This window comes from Homo sapiens, chromosome 5 (genome assembly GCF_000001405.40).
Source record: "Homo sapiens chromosome 5, GRCh38.p14 Primary Assembly".
Classification (NCBI taxonomy): domain Eukaryota; kingdom Metazoa; phylum Chordata; class Mammalia; order Primates; family Hominidae; genus Homo; species Homo sapiens.
The window spans coordinates 138337531-138350748 of record NC_000005.10 but is presented as its reverse complement, the minus strand read 5'-3'; the positions used below and the strand labels follow the sequence as shown (position 1 = coordinate 138350748).

General features: G+C 49.3%; 2 protein-coding genes across 15 annotated transcripts in view, besides 3 other annotated features; one reads left to right on the top strand and one right to left on the bottom strand.

The window, feature by feature from the left end:
• On the bottom strand, positions 1020-13192 carry FAM53C (family with sequence similarity 53 member C). 4 transcript variants are annotated; one of them, NM_001135647.2, is made up of 5 exons: positions 12897-13192; positions 9336-9565; positions 8883-8940; positions 5140-5924; positions 1020-4047 (listed from the first exon to the last, which is right to left on the bottom strand). In NM_001135647.2, exons 2-5 carry the CDS (start codon positions 9411-9413, stop codon positions 3790-3792), a joined length of 1179 nt encoding a protein of 392 aa, NP_001129119.1. In that variant the 5' UTR covers positions 9414-9565; positions 12897-13192; the 3' UTR covers positions 1020-3789. The 4 variants fall into 4 exon arrangements, with proteins under 4 accessions (NP_001129119.1, NP_057689.1, NP_001337123.1 ...); NM_016605.3 differs by lacking the exon at positions 12897-13192 and adding an exon at positions 12442-12483; NM_001350194.2 differs by lacking the exon at positions 12897-13192 and adding an exon at positions 12442-12483 and having other exon boundaries at positions 5140-5291.
• Positions 12034-12123: a silencer, noted in NCBI's record as "silent region_16391". NCBI's record gives its function as "represses an Ori minimal core promoter by ATAC-STARR-seq in GM12878 lymphoblastoid cells {active_cell/tissue: GM12878}" and the evidence as "EXISTENCE:reporter gene assay evidence [ECO:0000049][PMID:35858748]".
• Positions 12174-12523: a silencer, noted in NCBI's record as "silent region_16390". NCBI's record gives its function as "represses an Ori minimal core promoter by ATAC-STARR-seq in GM12878 lymphoblastoid cells {active_cell/tissue: GM12878}" and the evidence as "EXISTENCE:reporter gene assay evidence [ECO:0000049][PMID:35858748]".
• Positions 12394-13218, top strand: part of CDC25C (cell division cycle 25C) — a 53091-nt gene continuing 52266 nt past the window's right edge. For 10 of the 11 annotated variants that reach the window (XM_047417954.1, XM_006714739.4, XM_047417953.1 and 7 more), the window contains exon 1: positions 12408-12793. In XM_047417954.1, coding sequence (XP_047273910.1) covers positions 12594-12793 — 200 coding nt within the window. In that variant the 5' untranslated portion in view covers positions 12408-12593. Of the gene's footprint in view, positions 12794-13218 lie in introns of all 11 variants that reach the window. The other variant, NM_001364026.1, reaches the window with a different exon arrangement.
• Positions 12604-13083: an enhancer, noted in NCBI's record as "active region_23200". NCBI's record gives its function as "activates an Ori minimal core promoter by ATAC-STARR-seq in GM12878 lymphoblastoid cells {active_cell/tissue: GM12878}" and the evidence as "EXISTENCE:reporter gene assay evidence [ECO:0000049][PMID:35858748]".

Genomic DNA, 13218 nt, shown 5'->3' with positions numbered 1-13218 from the left:
ATTCTAAGCTTCTTTAACCACATGCCACTGCCCACCACTTCCCCAAAGCCCTTCCTTTGTTTCCAGGGCAGGTGACAACCCTCACTTTTTCTAGGGTGTATGTGCACCCCTGCAAAGATTCCTGCTCCAGGTAGTCAAGTCAGTCCTGTCCTGCACACACTTCATTGGTATTCAATGATGAGTGCCACCAATTTGAAGCAGGAAACCAGGACATAAGCTAAGCAACTTGACTCTTCTTGCTGCCTGGCAAATTAGCACCACAACTGGTAAAGAAAGGCTAAGCCTTAGAGACAGAGGCTCCTGCCTGGATCTCTAAGCAACTACACTTCACCCACACACATTGGAAGAATGTCAACATAGAGAGAAGAAAGGGTGGAACAGAAAGGTCTAAAGAGTGAGCCACATAGCTTCTTTTGGCAAACCAACACTCCCAAAGGAAACATTAGGGAAAATACTGTCTTCTACAACAAAAGAGAAGCTTTGCAGCTAGGATTATTTTCCAAAAGCAGTATTTTTAGGATGGAAAAATTGCCTAGGTCTATGGAATCTGAATTCTGATGACTAAACCTCTATCTCTCCAGGATGTAACATGTGAAAACTTAAGAAAGATCCCTGGCTGTCTCCCACCCTGCCTTCTCCCTACTTCCCAAAGCCTACAAACCAATCTAGACAAGTTCCTGACTGTACCATAAACCATTTCTCAGGGAGCTGGAATGCATTCATACTTGACTTCAACTTGCTGGAAGTGAGAGTGACAGCAGGCAGGAGGAGACAAGTATAACTGCCAGGGAAAGAGAGACCAAACCAGACTGCCAAAAATAACCAAGGCCTTAGCAGAAGCCTGGGCCACAGTATAACATCCTGCCATGGCCGGCAAAGGGCCTAGGGTCCAAATACTGCCCCTTTTTGAAAGGTTGACCCACATCTTAGATGAAGGGGCTGGAACAGTTAGGTGGCCTTCTACCCTGCTTCTTCCTTGTCTTTGTGGGGAAGGGAAGAAGACACTGTAGTACACAAGGTTGCTTGGGAAAATGGATTATTCTAATAAAACTTTATTTTTTCAAACACAGCCACAGAGGCAGAACCTCATGTTTAACACACACAGACTTATGGATTTTTCTTTTAATATAAAACAAAGTTTACGAAAATTTTTTTCCACTTTTTGTATTTGTAATCCCATTAGCACAGGGACTTTGGCAGCAGGTGGGAGTGAAGGGCAGCTGAGCTGCCACTGGGCAGTCACTGGGCACAGGAGGAGAGCACCAGCCTGGGGAGTGGCTTCACTCACACACACAGGGATACTCACCTACTGGCCAACCACACTACACACACAGCACAGATGCAGACATTGACCCAGTGTCAGCCACATGCCCTGGAGGTGTGCTCCACTCTGGGTAAGCCCAATATGTGAAAATTCAAATAGTCAAAACAGCTAAAGTGGAGGGAGGTTGCTTGCTTTACAAAAAGAAGCAATCATAGGCTGCTTTTAAATGGTCAGCAGTCCAAATGCATTGAAAAATAGCATTTGGTTTACACAGAACTGTTGGAACAGATCTACTGTGTAAAGCAAAATGAACCAATTCTTGAAAAGTGTTCCAGGGCCACAGGTTCTTAGATTGGGAAGCAAGATGACAGTTCTGACTAGCTTAGTTTTCCAGACTGAAAGTAATGGAATTAAAATAATGATAACTGTAGACCTTCTCCCCTAAGGATGGTGCCCTGGGGCTTTGGGGAAACCAGGATGGAGGCAGAATCACTGCCTCACTTCTTCAGCTTAGGGCCTACAGAAACTCACTGGCATTGCCAGTAACCTGTTGGAAGCTGGCACAGCCAATCTACAGCAGAGAGCCCTGGGATGAGGATGCCCCAGGAGGAAAAGAAATTGGCACCAGGGAAATTATGGCCTGAAGAGGGAGAAGAGCCAGGGGAGGAATGAAACCATAGATGGGCAACTCCTGGGCTCACAGTTTCCCTGGATTCTCTAGAGGGCCTCTCTCAGGCCCCTAGAGACCTGGTAGCCTAGTGGTAACTAGCCAGGAGATAGGGAGGAGCCTCTGAGGGCCAGAGGCTTAAGAAGACATAGCCACCTCCTCTCTGGAGTGGAGACGAGGAGGCTGAAGCCTCACTGATGCTCCTGACATGCAGGAGATCCAGAAAATGTCAGGTTCAATTCCATGAGGAAGAAAACACAAAGACCTTGGTCTTCCTCCCTTACATGAGGAACTGGGTCCTAGGAAACCCTGGAAATTGAAGAGAAAAATGCCCTTCTTGCCATAAACAAGGGCAGGTCAAATTTGGTCATGCAGGGTCTAACCACAGCTGGATAAAACCTCACAAGCTATTGTGGTGGCAGCTTCAGTATGTGTTTCCACTGGTGCCAGCCCTACCAAGGTACTTAAACCCATCACTGTGGCCACTTGGACCAGCTGTCCTGGCTCAAGTTGCGGGTGAGAAACAAAAAAGTAAATTCAATCCAATGACAACCAAACTCCCAACTGCTTCTCACAGCCTTTGCTTTATACATCCTCAGCCAATCCCTCAGTGAGCCCCAACCTCCCTATGGTCTCTCAGGCCCAATTAGAGGCAAATAAACACTTCCTGGCAGGAGTGGAAGACAAGCAAACTATTAAATGCTAAACACCCCTTCTTCCCTCTCAAGCAGGTCAAAAAGGCTGGGCCTGGATCTTGTAAGAATTGGTTTCCTGCAGTCACCTTCCCAACAGCAGTGCTGGGGTGAGCTCACCCATGTCTGCTGGGGACTGAATGCCACTTCTGTTGCAGGTCTGCCTCAGTAGATGCTGGGGACCAATATAGGGCCTTCCTACCTAGTCTATGACTTAGAAGGGCAGAGGGTGAGGGGAAAAGGGTCCCATCAGCAGAGGAGAGAGAGAGAGAGCCCCTCAACCCTGCTTCAGTTGCCCATGTGCTGTGTGCAACTCTACTCAAGAGGGCAAAAGAGGCAGGTGGAATATAGCCTGGACAATCTGATGAGAAAAAAAGGCCAGCTCAGAAAAAATATGGTGACACCCCCCACCTGCATTCCCCAATATACTAGATCGAGCTAGTGGGGAGGGGGTGGGGCTGAAGAAAAGATCATTAGCTGAAGTCACAGCACTTAAAACACCCTGCTGTACCCCAAAATGAAATCCTTTGCAGAGTCGGTGATGCTATGGATTACAAGCCTGGTTCCAGAGCTATTTAGAAAAAAGGAAAACTTGGTGCCCTCCTCTTGACTCCTTGAGCAAACCCAACATCCTGTAAAAAACTCAAGATCCTGGGGGTATCATGATACTCTGCTGTTAAGGAGCAATTGCCTTCCTTCCCTAAGGCTACGCAAACACACCTTTCCACAAGTACACTCCCATGCACGCACACACTCTCACGCAGTTTCTCTGAGGAGGCTGACTCAACCCCCCACCCTGGCCAAATTCTAAGACACAAGTGCCCTTTGAAGCAAAGGGGCTAGTGAAATTCCCCGAGCTGGGGTCGGCAGACCCCTTCCTTCCCTGCCCATTGCTCTCTTGGTGGCAGGGATACTCACACTCAGGGCCGCCATAGGAAGGGTCTGCTCTGGGGCTGTCCCTCCCGCCACCAGCTCCGTTTATCTTGTCCCGGCCAGTCTCTTGGCATGGTCGAGCTTGCTGGAGCGAGAAGATTTCCAGCTGCCCTGAGTCGGAGCCCTCCACTCACCCCCATTCCCAGGCTCGGCCCCCAGCCTTGGGGACTCGACACTTGTTAGTAGCCATGAGAGAGTCAGTCTGTGTGGCCCCAGGAAGTAGCCTCTCAGTTTTAGTTTTCCTCAATCAAATTCAAGTCCAGGTCCCCAAAGTCCCGCTGGCACAGTGTCCGCTTGCTCAGCGCCTGCCGACCCCACCGCACAGCCCCCTCCTCCTCCTCTTCGCTTTCACTCAGCACCTGGGAGGAACCCCCAGTGGGGCTGCAGGAAGCAGAGAGGGGTGGGGGGCTACAGGCCATGAACCATGGTGGAGAGATGCTGCTGCCTTCCCGGGCTGTTTCTTGGAGACAAAGACCTCCTGAGTATGGTTTCTGTCAAACAAACAAAGAAGACAGTTACACCTGAAGGCAAGAATTCTTTAGGGTGAGGTTTGTAAACTTTTTTTTTTTGAGACGGAGTCTCACTCTGTCACCCTGGCTGGAGTGCAGTGGCGTGATCTTGGCTCACTGCAAGCTCTGCCTCCCGGGTTCACGCCATTCTCCTGCCTCAGCCTCCCCAGTAGCTGGGACTACAGGTGCCCGGCCCACGCCCGGCTAATTTTTTATATTTTTAGTAGAGACGAGGTTTCACCGTGTTAGCCAGGATGGTCTCAATCTCCTGACCTCATGATCCGCCTGCCTTGGCCTCCCAAAGTGCTGGGATTACAGGCGTTAGCCACCATGCCTGGCGTTTGTAAACTTTCTGACAAAATTTGGAGCCCATTGTTTCCATTGAATTGAAGAATAGAAGCTCCGTGAGGGCAGGAACATCATCTGCAGTGTTTCATTACTTTGTACTGCCAGTGCCTAGTCAGAGTCAGTAAATGTTTGCAGATGGGATGGACGACTGTATGAAAAAATTAATTAATTCTTAAAGAGGTTTGTAACCTAGTGGTCTAGAAAGAATAATATGAAAAAAGTGAGCAAAGTGCATACATACAATAATTGTACTCACACCAGGAAGTCAAAAAACATTTGTCTAACAGATGAATACACTGTAGCAGCCCATCTTGCTTCAGCCCTCACAGACCCACTTTGAAGCAGTGACAGGCAAGTGGCAAAAACAGCTTTGGGCACAAGGAGTAGGTACTGATGGAATTTTTTGCAGCTTGTGCATTCTTGGAAAGGAGGGAAAGTACCTCTTGCAGGACAATTTGGGATCTCTGTTGGAAGGTTTAACATGGGTCTCACCCCAGTTTCTCTAACTCCCAGGATTAAGGCATTTCACAGGATGGGGGGACTTTCAGTGCTAACACTGGGACAGTCCCAGGCAAACTGGGATGGTAGGTCACCCTAGCTAAGAGCTAAAGGAGGTGCTGTTGGTGGTGGGGGCGGCAGGGTAATGAAGCTAGGGGCTAGCTCAAAAGTGGAAACAGAACAGTCCCCACACTCCCATCTAAGCTCCCCTAGTCTTGCTGGTCCCACCTGATTCATCTTGTCAAAGTCCAACGAAGGCCGCAGACGCCGGGGGTCTTCCTCGTGGCGCCGCTTGACCCCAGTTTTGCGGGCATCCAGATCACAAGGCTGTGAGCGGCTTCGGGGAAGGTTGCGGAGACCTCGAGGTCGCCAGGGCAGCTCTGGGGAGGATGCGGGAGAGCTCCGGGCAGAGGGCAAGAAGCGGCTTGCCTGCGGGCCCAGACTGGGTGACAGGGAGAAGCGGCGCTGAGGTGGGCAAGGTGACAAGGACTCAGCATCACTCTCCCAGGAGCCACTTTGAGGGGAGGCGGCGCAGGGTCGAGAGGAATCTTGGGCCAGGGCCAGGCTGAAGAAAGGAGGGCTGTAGGGTCTGTGAGCTGGGGCACATTGAGAAGAGGCACTGGGAGCTTGGAGGAACCTGAGGCTGGAGACCCGCTTTGGGGGGCTCTGGTGAGGCACCTGCGGCCCACCCCCTCCACCACTGCCCCGGTGCTTTATGGGAGTCCACAGCTTGGAGGGGGCGGGCCGCCACACCGGCTGCCAGCGAGACAGGTCCACGGGCACTGAGAGTGAGCGGCAGTGCCTCTTGGATGGAGGGGCAGGGGGCACAGGAAGCTTCTCTGGATCTGGGGGCTCAGGTCTTAGGACTTGGGAGAAGGGCTGCTCCTTGGGGGAGTTTCCCCGACTGGGTGGTCTGAGGTGCAGGCTCAGGCCTGAGGGATGGTAGCTGAAGTTGAGGCTGTCCTGGAACTCAGCACAGGAACAGTGGGGCAGGCCCCTCCAGGAAGCACCTTCTGGAAGGCATTTATAATAAGAATAATATTAATGATAGCTTACATTTTTTAAGAACTTACCATTTGCCACATAATGTATGGAGCATTTTATGTGAAAATTTCCAAAAACCTTATGAGGTAGGTAGTATCGTTATCATTATCCCCATTTCACAGATAAGAGAAATTCAATAACTTTCCCAAAATCACATAGCACTCAAAAGACCAAAGGAGGATTCAAATCCAGGTCTGTCTGATGCGAAGGCTAGGTTTTTAAACCACTATGCTCTATTGCCTCCATTGTGACCAACTACCTGGAATCAAAAACATTTCATCTACTGCCTGCCACTCCCTCTCAAAGGTAAAAGAAGTCAAGAGAAACAAACACGTTTGTGAGTGTCCTGCTCATCTCTCCCTCGCCCCTCCCCCACGCTTGCCCTGGATGCTGAAAAGCAGGCCTATGCTCTTCTTTCTCGGCCTTTCCTCCTCTCATGTGTCAACAGCACCAAGTCAGGAGTTAGGACTGCCAAGAAGTAAGAGGTAATCAGGCAGGTAAGAGATCACTTTTATTCCTAGGGAGGGCAAACAGGGTGGGGAAGGCCTTTGACAGTGAAACCTGGGCTTGGGAAACCCTGACTTTGTGCTGCTCATCTTCGTTTCTGTCTGGCCACCCACATATTCCGATTCCCTTCCCCTAGGCCTTCTCTTAAATCCAAACAGATGGAGGGACCAAGAGAAGGAAGGGAAAATGGACTAAAAGAAACAATCCTCACTCACTGTATTCCAACCAAAATTGTGACTTTTGGGAGACGGCTCATTAAGGGACAAAGGGCCTAATCCAAACTCCTCTGGCTAGCTGGCTGGAATTCTGCAGGGGCTGGATATTTGGGGCAAACGACAAGTATACGAAGTCAGACTTGATGGTGGCAAAATTCATACTGAGTGTATTTGGTCTATAGTTCTTCCCTCTACTAACCACTATGAGGGCAGGGACCATGAGTTCCTGCTCTATACTTATGACACAATACCTGGCTTTCAGCAAGTCTTTAATAAACAGGAGGAAGAGACTGAATGAACATGTTTTTGCCAACTCACTTCCCTTGCTAGGTATCCCAGAAAAGAAAATGAGATGCAGAACTGCTGAGCAGCACGAGTTAGGGAGTTCTGATTGTCCACCAGTGATGCCTCCATCTAAATGTCCCTACGATCAGGGGCCCTTTAACTCAGTAATTAATAATCTACGAATTTATACCTCAGATATATTTTCACATGTGAAAAAATGACATATGTACAAGGTTATTCACTACAGTTTCTTTTTTCTTTCTTTTTTTTTTTTTTGAGATGGAATCTCGCTCTGTTGCCCAAGCTGGAGTGCAGTGGGTGCGATCTCGGCTCACTGCAACCTCCGCCTCCTGGATTCCAGGGATTCTCCTGCCTCAGCCTCCTGAGTAGCTGGGATTACAGGCGCCTGCCACCATGCCCAGCTAATTTTTGTATTTTTAATAGAGACGGGGTTTCACCATGCTGGCCAGGCTGGTCTCGAACTCCTGGCTTCATGCTATCTGCCCACCTCGGCCTCCCAAAGTGCTGGGATTACAGGCATGAGTCACCACGTCTGGCCCACTACAGTTTTATGTATCCAAACAAGATTAGAAATAACCTAAATGCACATCAATAGAAAACTCATTAAATAAGCCACTGTACATCTATGCAGTGTAATAATATGTAGCTATATATAACAAGGGAATGAATACTCAGCATTCTGATAGGGAAAGATCTCCTAGCTATATTAAAGTTTTTTTTGTTTTTTGTTTTTTTTTTTTTTGAGATGGAGTCTTGCTTTGTTGTGCAGGCTGGAGTGCAGTGGCATGATCTGGGCTCACCACAACCTCCACCTCCTGGGTTCAAGTGATTCTCCTGCCTTGCCCTCCCGAGTAGCTGGGATTACAGGTGTGTACCACCATGCCAGGCTAATTTTTGTATTTTTAGTAGAGACAGGGTTTCACTGTGTTGGCCAGGCTGGTCTCGAACTCCTGACCTCATGATCCGCCCACCTCGGCCTCCCAAAGTGCTAGGATTACAGGCATGAGCCACTGTGCCCAGCAATTTTTTTTTTTTTTTGAGACAGAGTTTTGCTCTTGTTGCCCAGGCTAGAGTGCAATGGCGCAATCTTGGCTCACCGCAACCTCTACCTCCTGGGTTCAAGTGATTCTCCTGCCTCAGCCTCCCGAGTAGCTGGGATTACAGGCATGCGCCACGACGCCTGGCTAATTTTATATTTTTAGTAGAGATGGGGTTTCTCCATGTTGGTCAGGCTGGTCTTGAACTCCCGACCTCAGGTGATCTGCCCACCTTGGCCTCCCAAAGTGCTGGGATTATAGGTGTGACCCACTAGGCCCGGTCCCATTTTTTTTTTTAAAGGTACAAAATAATATATAGTATGCAACCTTTTGTGTTAAAAACGTGGAAATAAAATAGATGCAGCTAACCACCATGGCACATGTACACCTATGTAACGAACCTGCACGTTCTGCACATGTATCCGAGAACTTAAAAAAGAAAGGAAATAAATATATACATTTGCTTCTTTTTATATAAAGAAATTCTAGTCACATATACTGTATAAGAAACTAATACTTTTAGGGAGGTGGTAGAAGCTGGGTAGATAGGGAACGGGAGAGTAAGAGAGACTTTTCTCAGCATAACCTTTTTGTTGTTATTTTTTAAATTTTGAACCATGTGAATGTATTACCTATTCAAAAAATTAGATTATACAAGTCCCCACAAAGCTAGAATAAGAGCAAACCAACCAGATAACTTTCATGCTAGAACATGAAAGACAACTGTCAATCTCAGAAGTTGACCCTGGCAAGAAGGTTCTAGAGGTAGGCTCGCTAGCCCTGGTCACTGGAAACCAATGATAGAAATGTGTGGAGAGAGGAATGGGTACACACACGTACACAAACACACACGATGCCTTACCAGACACAAGCTGGAAAGAGTTCCCACAGTTGGAGATGTCTGCATGATCAGGCAAAGGCTAAGAAAGAGAGAATATCCATCATGATTTGGATTCAGGACACACTGACAGATTTCTAGGAAGCCCTCTTCAGTTCTCCTCTGCGATTCATGAGCTACAGGGATGTTAGGGACATTAAGTGTTCTTCCTCTTGTCTTCCCAAAGTTAGTAAGTCAAACAATCCACATCTTCCAACATCTCAAACCCTTCTCCACCCAAGTTTTGCTGTCCCTTCTCTATCGGTGGAAAAATCCCTGCCCCCTTCCTTTTGGGCTGGGTTTTGAGCCATTAGTGGGCTCTTCCAGGTTAAGTACCATGATTCATACAGCACAGGACAAGAGTAAAGTAATAGCAACAATCAGCCTCAGAAAAAAGGGGGAGGGGGTCGTGGAGAAGCAGGAAGACTGGTCTTTTACCAGACTGATGCTGAAGCGTGTGCATTTCAGCTCATCCAGAGTCTGCTTCTGTAGCTGCTCAGTGATCAGGGTTATCATGATTCTCCCCAGGATTTGACTTGCACACTTTGGAGCAAATGATGGATGTCTTCCCTGTTGTTCTTCCAGACCTCACTTGTGAGCCGTCTTCTGCCACTGCAGCACCATTCTAGCACCATTGGGACTTCCCTCTCCAGTCATGCCTGCTGAGTCTGCCAATTAGAGGGACCAGCCCCAAGTGATATTAGAGATGCACCTGGTCCAGAGATGGAAAATGCATGGCACACATACCACAGCACCCCTAAGCCAGGCCTCTGGCAGACATCAATTGATCACAGCTCTTTCCAGCTAAGCCTAAACACAGCTTCAGAAATTATGAACTTGGCAGTCCAGATATGAAATAAAATAGAGTTGGCAATCAAGTTGAAACTTATTTGCTACCCTTAAACTGGTTCATGCTCTGTTGTTTCTAACTGGAATACCAGCACCACTTAGAAAACAGCTGCTCAAGTGAGAGAGAGGGATGCCCAAATGATTATTTCCATCAAGATCAGCCCAGTATTTTATCTTCCAGTCAGAAGTGAAAAGAGGTACCCTTCTCCTAAACTACAGAAATAGTAATAAGAGAACAAGGAAGAACAGTGGTTGTAGGCAAGACTTTCTGCTTTAGACCTGAGTACATAGGATTTTATGTCCTCCCACAGCCTAAACATCTGATATATTATTGTTTTCCAATAGATACAGTGTTTGTTTTCTTATCAAATGGGAAGATAAAGAAATGGTCAGGGTAATTCCAATACATTTCAACTCTACAGACGTCGTAAACAACAACTCCATGACTGTTCAACTAAGTTTTTAGCCTCATCTGATGCAAAGTCCATGGATACAGTTAACCAAGATTCTTTCTCGTGGTCAACTTCTGATAGAAGCAAACTAACTGTATCAGATAACAGGCTTCAAGCCCACACAATTACCTGAGGGGCCTTGCTCAAGGGAAAAGGGGAGGTTAAGCCAGTGTCTTGATTTTGTTCTATCTATTCCCGGAAATGAGCAGCAAGCTGACAGCTTACCAGAGAATGTGTGTAGCATTAGCTAGTCAAGAGAACAAATCATCAAGAAATCTAATTATTAATCCAATTTGCTAAGAGTTTTGACAAATCATTTAATACTCCTTGGCCTCAGTTTACCCATATGTAAAGTGGGCAGAATAATCTTAACCTGTCACAGGAACAATATAACATATTAAAATGTACAAAATGTACCATCTGACCTATAAAAATCAGGAGTCCACACAGACTACCATTTCTCGTTCCCGTTTGTGAATCTTCAAGGCCTCAGAATGTCAGAAGTAATGAAATCAATAAGATGAAGAAGGCAATAGGGTCCATCTCTCTGGCTGAATACCATCCTCCCTCACCTGCACACTAAGAAAAGCCCAAGAGGGCTCTTCCTTCTGTGACCTTGGGGGCAGATCACTCTACAAAAAAGAGGAATTATCTCTACCCCACTCACACCTTAGAAGGAGGGCACAAGGAAGAGCAAAGAGATAAACCTGGATGTACCTGGAGTTCTCTGGAAGAAAGGTGCAAGAGAAGTCAATCATCATTACAGTTAACTATCATTTTCATGCATAATTATTACCACCCTGAACAAAATTCTAGCTTCCGGGGAGCTCTCTTCAGCTGCTTCCCCTATATTCTTACGGGAGAAGCTAAAGCTTATATCACTTCTGCTCTTGGTTTCTTAACTCTGCTGCCCTCAAAGATCAACCAGAGAGGGAACCTAAGTGCAGGATTTTACCCTAGAGACCCCAGGCCTCAGGCTAACCAGCTATGAGGAGCAGGGAATGAAGCAAACTCTCCAGCTTTTCATGAGGCATTTGGACAAACAGCAAACTCCCAGCCACCTCTAGGATCAAGTCAAGACAGTGAATTTGTGTTTTTCTGCATTTTAATTGTTGGGATGTGGCCACACACAGTGGTAATTGGAACAATGCAACTACCACCACGCAACTGATACTCTCAGCCTGAGTTTCCTAAAACAGGCCAGGCTGCGAGGGGGAACAGAACGGAAGCCATAAGGAATCAAACCAGGACACAAAAGAAGGCAAACCAGCTCCGCGAGGGGCCTCCTCTTTCTCAAGCAGGCATTGAAAAAAGTGTAAGAAGCCCTCTCTTGCCGCCTTCCTTCCCCTTCCATTTTGTGTATCTGAAGGGTAGAGACAGCCCTGAATATTCACTAAACAAGTTAAAACTTCTCAGTTTAACAACTGGCACGGGGCTCAGCCCTTCACAGAGCAGCAGGCCGCTAGGCCCTCTCAGCAACCCCACCAGACCTAACTCTCAGTCCAGGCTTTCCCTCCACCAGCAGCCCCCAAAAATAAAGATCAGACCCCCACCCCATCTCCTATTGGATGGCAGTAACCCCTGACACTCCTGTTTCAGGGATGCTGAGGTTGTGCTGTACCAAGACAAGGTAGGATCAGGTCAGGCCAACAGGGAGGAGAGTCACAAACCCTTTGGGGACCTTCCCCTCAGGTCCCAGCCCCACACCTCCTGGGGAGACTGAAGAAAAACATGAGGAAGGCAGGGAGCTGCATGAACAGGTAGGTGGAGATCTGCCTGCTCTTCTTCCATATGGTTCTGGTGGGGAAAGGGGTGACAAGTGGGGAACACCCCTCCCCCCACCCCCATGAAGAAGCAAAAGGCTAGGCCCCTCCAATCTTCAACCTCTCCCTCTGTTGCCCTGCCTGTCCCCGCGGGGTGGGGCATGGGGCGTCCGCTGGTCCCCGGGGCGGGGGGGGGGGTGCGCCAGGGCTCGCTCAGGGGGGCTGTCGTTCGCCTCTTCCCACTAGGTTCCATCATCTGGCCGCGGGAAGCGAACTCAGGACGCAGGGGATGGGGAGGGTCTGGGACTTAGCACTCCGCCACCCCCTCCCCCACCGGGTCCCGTGCTCTCCCCGCAGAGGCGGCCAGCGAGGCCCGGCCGCGCGGGCGGTCGGGCTGGGGGAGGGGAAAGAGGGAAGGAGGGAGGGACGGTTGAGGTGCCCGCCCCGAGGCCCCAGCGCCACCTGCCCTCCACCACCTACCGCGGTTCCTCCAGCTCCCAGGGCCGCGGCCGGAGCAGCTCTGAGCGCTCGGTTCGCCCCACGGTGCCCTTAAAAGGCGCTGGCGCGAACCAACGAGTCCCTGAGGAGAGTAGGGGGACAGCTCCGGCTCGCAGAATCCCCCCAAGCCACCCATGGAGGGCGCAGCTCCGTGTCGTGTCTCTCTCAAAGTGTCTCTCGGACAGCGCTGTTGGGAACGAGCCTGGCGCTTTGATTTAGGGATGGGGGTGGTTTCCTCACTAACGAGTCACCCCCTCCAAAATATCGCAGAAAGTGGACGGCCCCAGTTGGAGGCACATCTTGAAACCCGCGGGGGAGGCCATGTCGGAAGAAGGTAAACAAAGGCATCGCCCCTGCCCTCCCTCCCTCCAACGGCCCAACTGCAGCCTCCCACTCGGTTCGGGCCGCGTCACGCAATTAGCCACAGTGCCCCTCACCTGCTCTGCTGCCCCGCCCTCCACGACCACCTCTTCGAAGGAATCCCCCTTCCCCCAGCAAAGGACCCGTCCGCGGCGTGAAGGCTGCTGGGAAGTGTGGTCCAAGCGCGGATTAGGGCCTGCTCGGAGTCCCAGGAGCCCCTCTTGCAGCTGCCGGATCGGCCTGAACCTTAAAAACCCAGGACTTATAATGGTTGCGGGGACGTTTCCACTTGGTTCTGTAATTTGCCCTCACCCAGAACACTTTGTAAAGCTCAGGATAGCCCAGGGCTGTTCACTCCCTCTCTTCTCTCTCCGCCCCCTCCCCCCCAGCAGGATGAGG

What these genes read in the sequence shown, in the direction of transcription:
- FAM53C (NM_001135647.2), bottom strand. Translation starts at nt 9,413, where the DNA reads ATGATAACCCTGATCACTGAGCAGCTACAGAAGCAGACTCTGGATGAG. An exon ending in CACGCTTCAGCATCAGTCTG is followed by an intron (nt 8,941 to 9,335) that starts GTAAAAGACCAG and finishes TCTCTTTCTTAG; the next exon opens with CCTTTGCCTGATCATGCAGA. An exon ending in ACTTTGACAAGATGAATCAG is followed by an intron (nt 4,048 to 5,139) that starts GTGGGACCAGCA and finishes TTTGTTTGACAG; the next exon opens with AAACCATACTCAGGAGGTCT.